Source organism: Homo sapiens, chromosome 2 (genome assembly GCF_000001405.40).
Source record: "Homo sapiens chromosome 2, GRCh38.p14 Primary Assembly".
Classification (NCBI taxonomy): domain Eukaryota; kingdom Metazoa; phylum Chordata; class Mammalia; order Primates; family Hominidae; genus Homo; species Homo sapiens.
Genome location: NC_000002.12, coordinates 6,255,091 through 6,257,144, shown reverse-complemented (window position 1 = coordinate 6,257,144; position 2,054 = coordinate 6,255,091). Strand labels below are relative to the sequence as shown.

Genomic DNA, 2,054 nt, shown 5'->3' with positions numbered 1-2,054 from the left:
CTTCTGGCTTTGTCCACCTTCTGGCGGCTTCATAACCCTTGCTGTGCTTGGGCTAGTAGGTACATTGCTCCAGTTTCTGCCTCAGTAGTTACATAGTGTTCTTCCCTTTTTGTGTGTCTGTCTCCGTGTGGCTTTCTTCAAGGGCACCAGTCATTGGAGTTAAGGCTCAACCTAATCCAGTATGACCTCATCTCAACTAATTACATCTGCAAAGACTCTGTTCCCAAATAAGATTACATTCTGAGGTTCTGGTGGACATGAATTTTGGGGGTAGATATTAACCTACTGCAAATATTAAATCTCATTCATAAAACTGAGGTGAAAAATATTGAGTCAAATAAATGAATGCTTTAAGTAGACAGTAAAAAGCAAAAATAATCAAATTAATAATAGTCTGGGAATTTTTCATCCTTGGGATGTTTCACTCCAAGTTGGTGGTGGTGGTGGTGGTGGGTGGGGGAGGGGGGTTGTGTGTGTATATGAGTTTGTGTGTGTGTGTGTGTGCACATTTCTTTTCAACATCCAAGGATGTTTCTGATTCCAGAGTTGTGGTTTATGTCATAATATGTTGCTGTAATTCACAGAGTAGGTATTCACAGCCAAATTTTCTCAGGTTTGTGAACACAATTTTTCACAGCTACATTTTATGTCTTTTCATCATAGCCTCATGAAGTGCAGCTGCAATTACCAAGTGAATTTTTACGGAAGCCACATTTGAGTATGAAATGTGTATATGATCTTATATCATCTTGTCTGGAAAACACAGGAGAAATAGTTGTGCAAAAAGGATATGACCAACACGAGAGTCTAAAGCTCTGAAAAAAAAAGTGCCTTACAGGATAGATGATGAATATTCAGGAAGCCGTAACTCTCAGTTAGGGAGTTGTTTCACTTTTAAGAGGCAACAGTGAAAAATTAATGAAACAAGGGCTCTTGTGAATGAGGCTCATTGATACGAAAACCTATTCATTGTCCAAGCATTGAGTAACAGATGTAATAGGATTTGGGTAGGCACTGGGGTACAGTGAGGAAGGAAGCGTGCACTGAGCTCTGGCCCATTATGGCCGTCTCTCCAGACGTCTCTCAAGAGCAGATTAATGTTTCTTTTTGAATCCCATGTTTGTTAGTGTCTAGAATTGGTGCAAAAGTCCTGCTTGCTTCCCACTCTGCCTTTTAATCACTTTTTCTTCCTACTTCAAAAACTCTTCCTCCCTTGAAGCTACTGTTCTTTGGGTGACACCAGTCATGCAGGTGTTCCCCAATCTCTGACTGTCTCCCTTTCTCACTGATTAGCTCTGATTTCCTTGTGAAATCTTTCCTTTCTCTTTGGACACTGCAGTGCGTAGCCAATGGCATGTCTTTCTGACTGGACTCCTGTCATGTTTCCAGGTGGTTTCATGAGCTGTGTGGATGACACAGTTAACATCCCAGTCCCTTCATCTTCCAAACTCCTCTTCTCCAGTGACCATAGTTTATTCGTGTGTACACCTTGTCACCCCCTACATCTTGCCACTCTCAAATCAACCACCATCAAAATCTAACGCCACCTCCCATCCTTTCAGCTCATAGTTCTTACAGTGTTATTTGCACATCACACAAAGAGCTTTATCTAAGATTTATTTATCATAGTGAAATATTTGAAATGGTTCAGTAAATCATGAAATATCCATTTGGAACATTAAAATCTATTATGTGAAATTTGTAGTGATACAAAGGTGTGAATAGCAATACAATGTTACACTGTAAAATGATAGAAATCAGAATTGTATGCTGATGATGACTAATGAGTTTGCAGAAGAAAATCATGAAAAGGAAGTGTTGCAAAATATTGATAGTGGTTTTTTTTTCTTTTTTTGAGATGAAGTCTTGCTCTGTCACCCAGGCTAGGGTGCAGTGGCACAATCTAGGCTTTTGTTGTATCTGATTTTTAGAGTACTTTATTCTATGTGAATTGGAGTAATTATATAGTAGAATAAATAAAAATATTTGAATTCAACAACTATTTATTTGGGGATTATTATATCTGTGCTCTCTGCGACTGCTGGAATTATAGA

At 38.9% G+C, this 2,054-nt stretch overlaps 1 annotated feature.

Annotated features, from left to right (window-relative positions):
- Window positions 936-1,149: a silencer, noted in NCBI's record as "fragment chr2:6396128-6396341 (GRCh37/hg19 assembly coordinates)". NCBI's record gives its function as "represses an EF-1alpha promoter that drives an FKBP-Casp9 reporter gene in an ReSE screen in HepG2 liver carcinoma cells {active_cell/tissue: HepG2}" and the evidence as "EXISTENCE:reporter gene assay evidence [ECO:0000049][PMID:32094911]".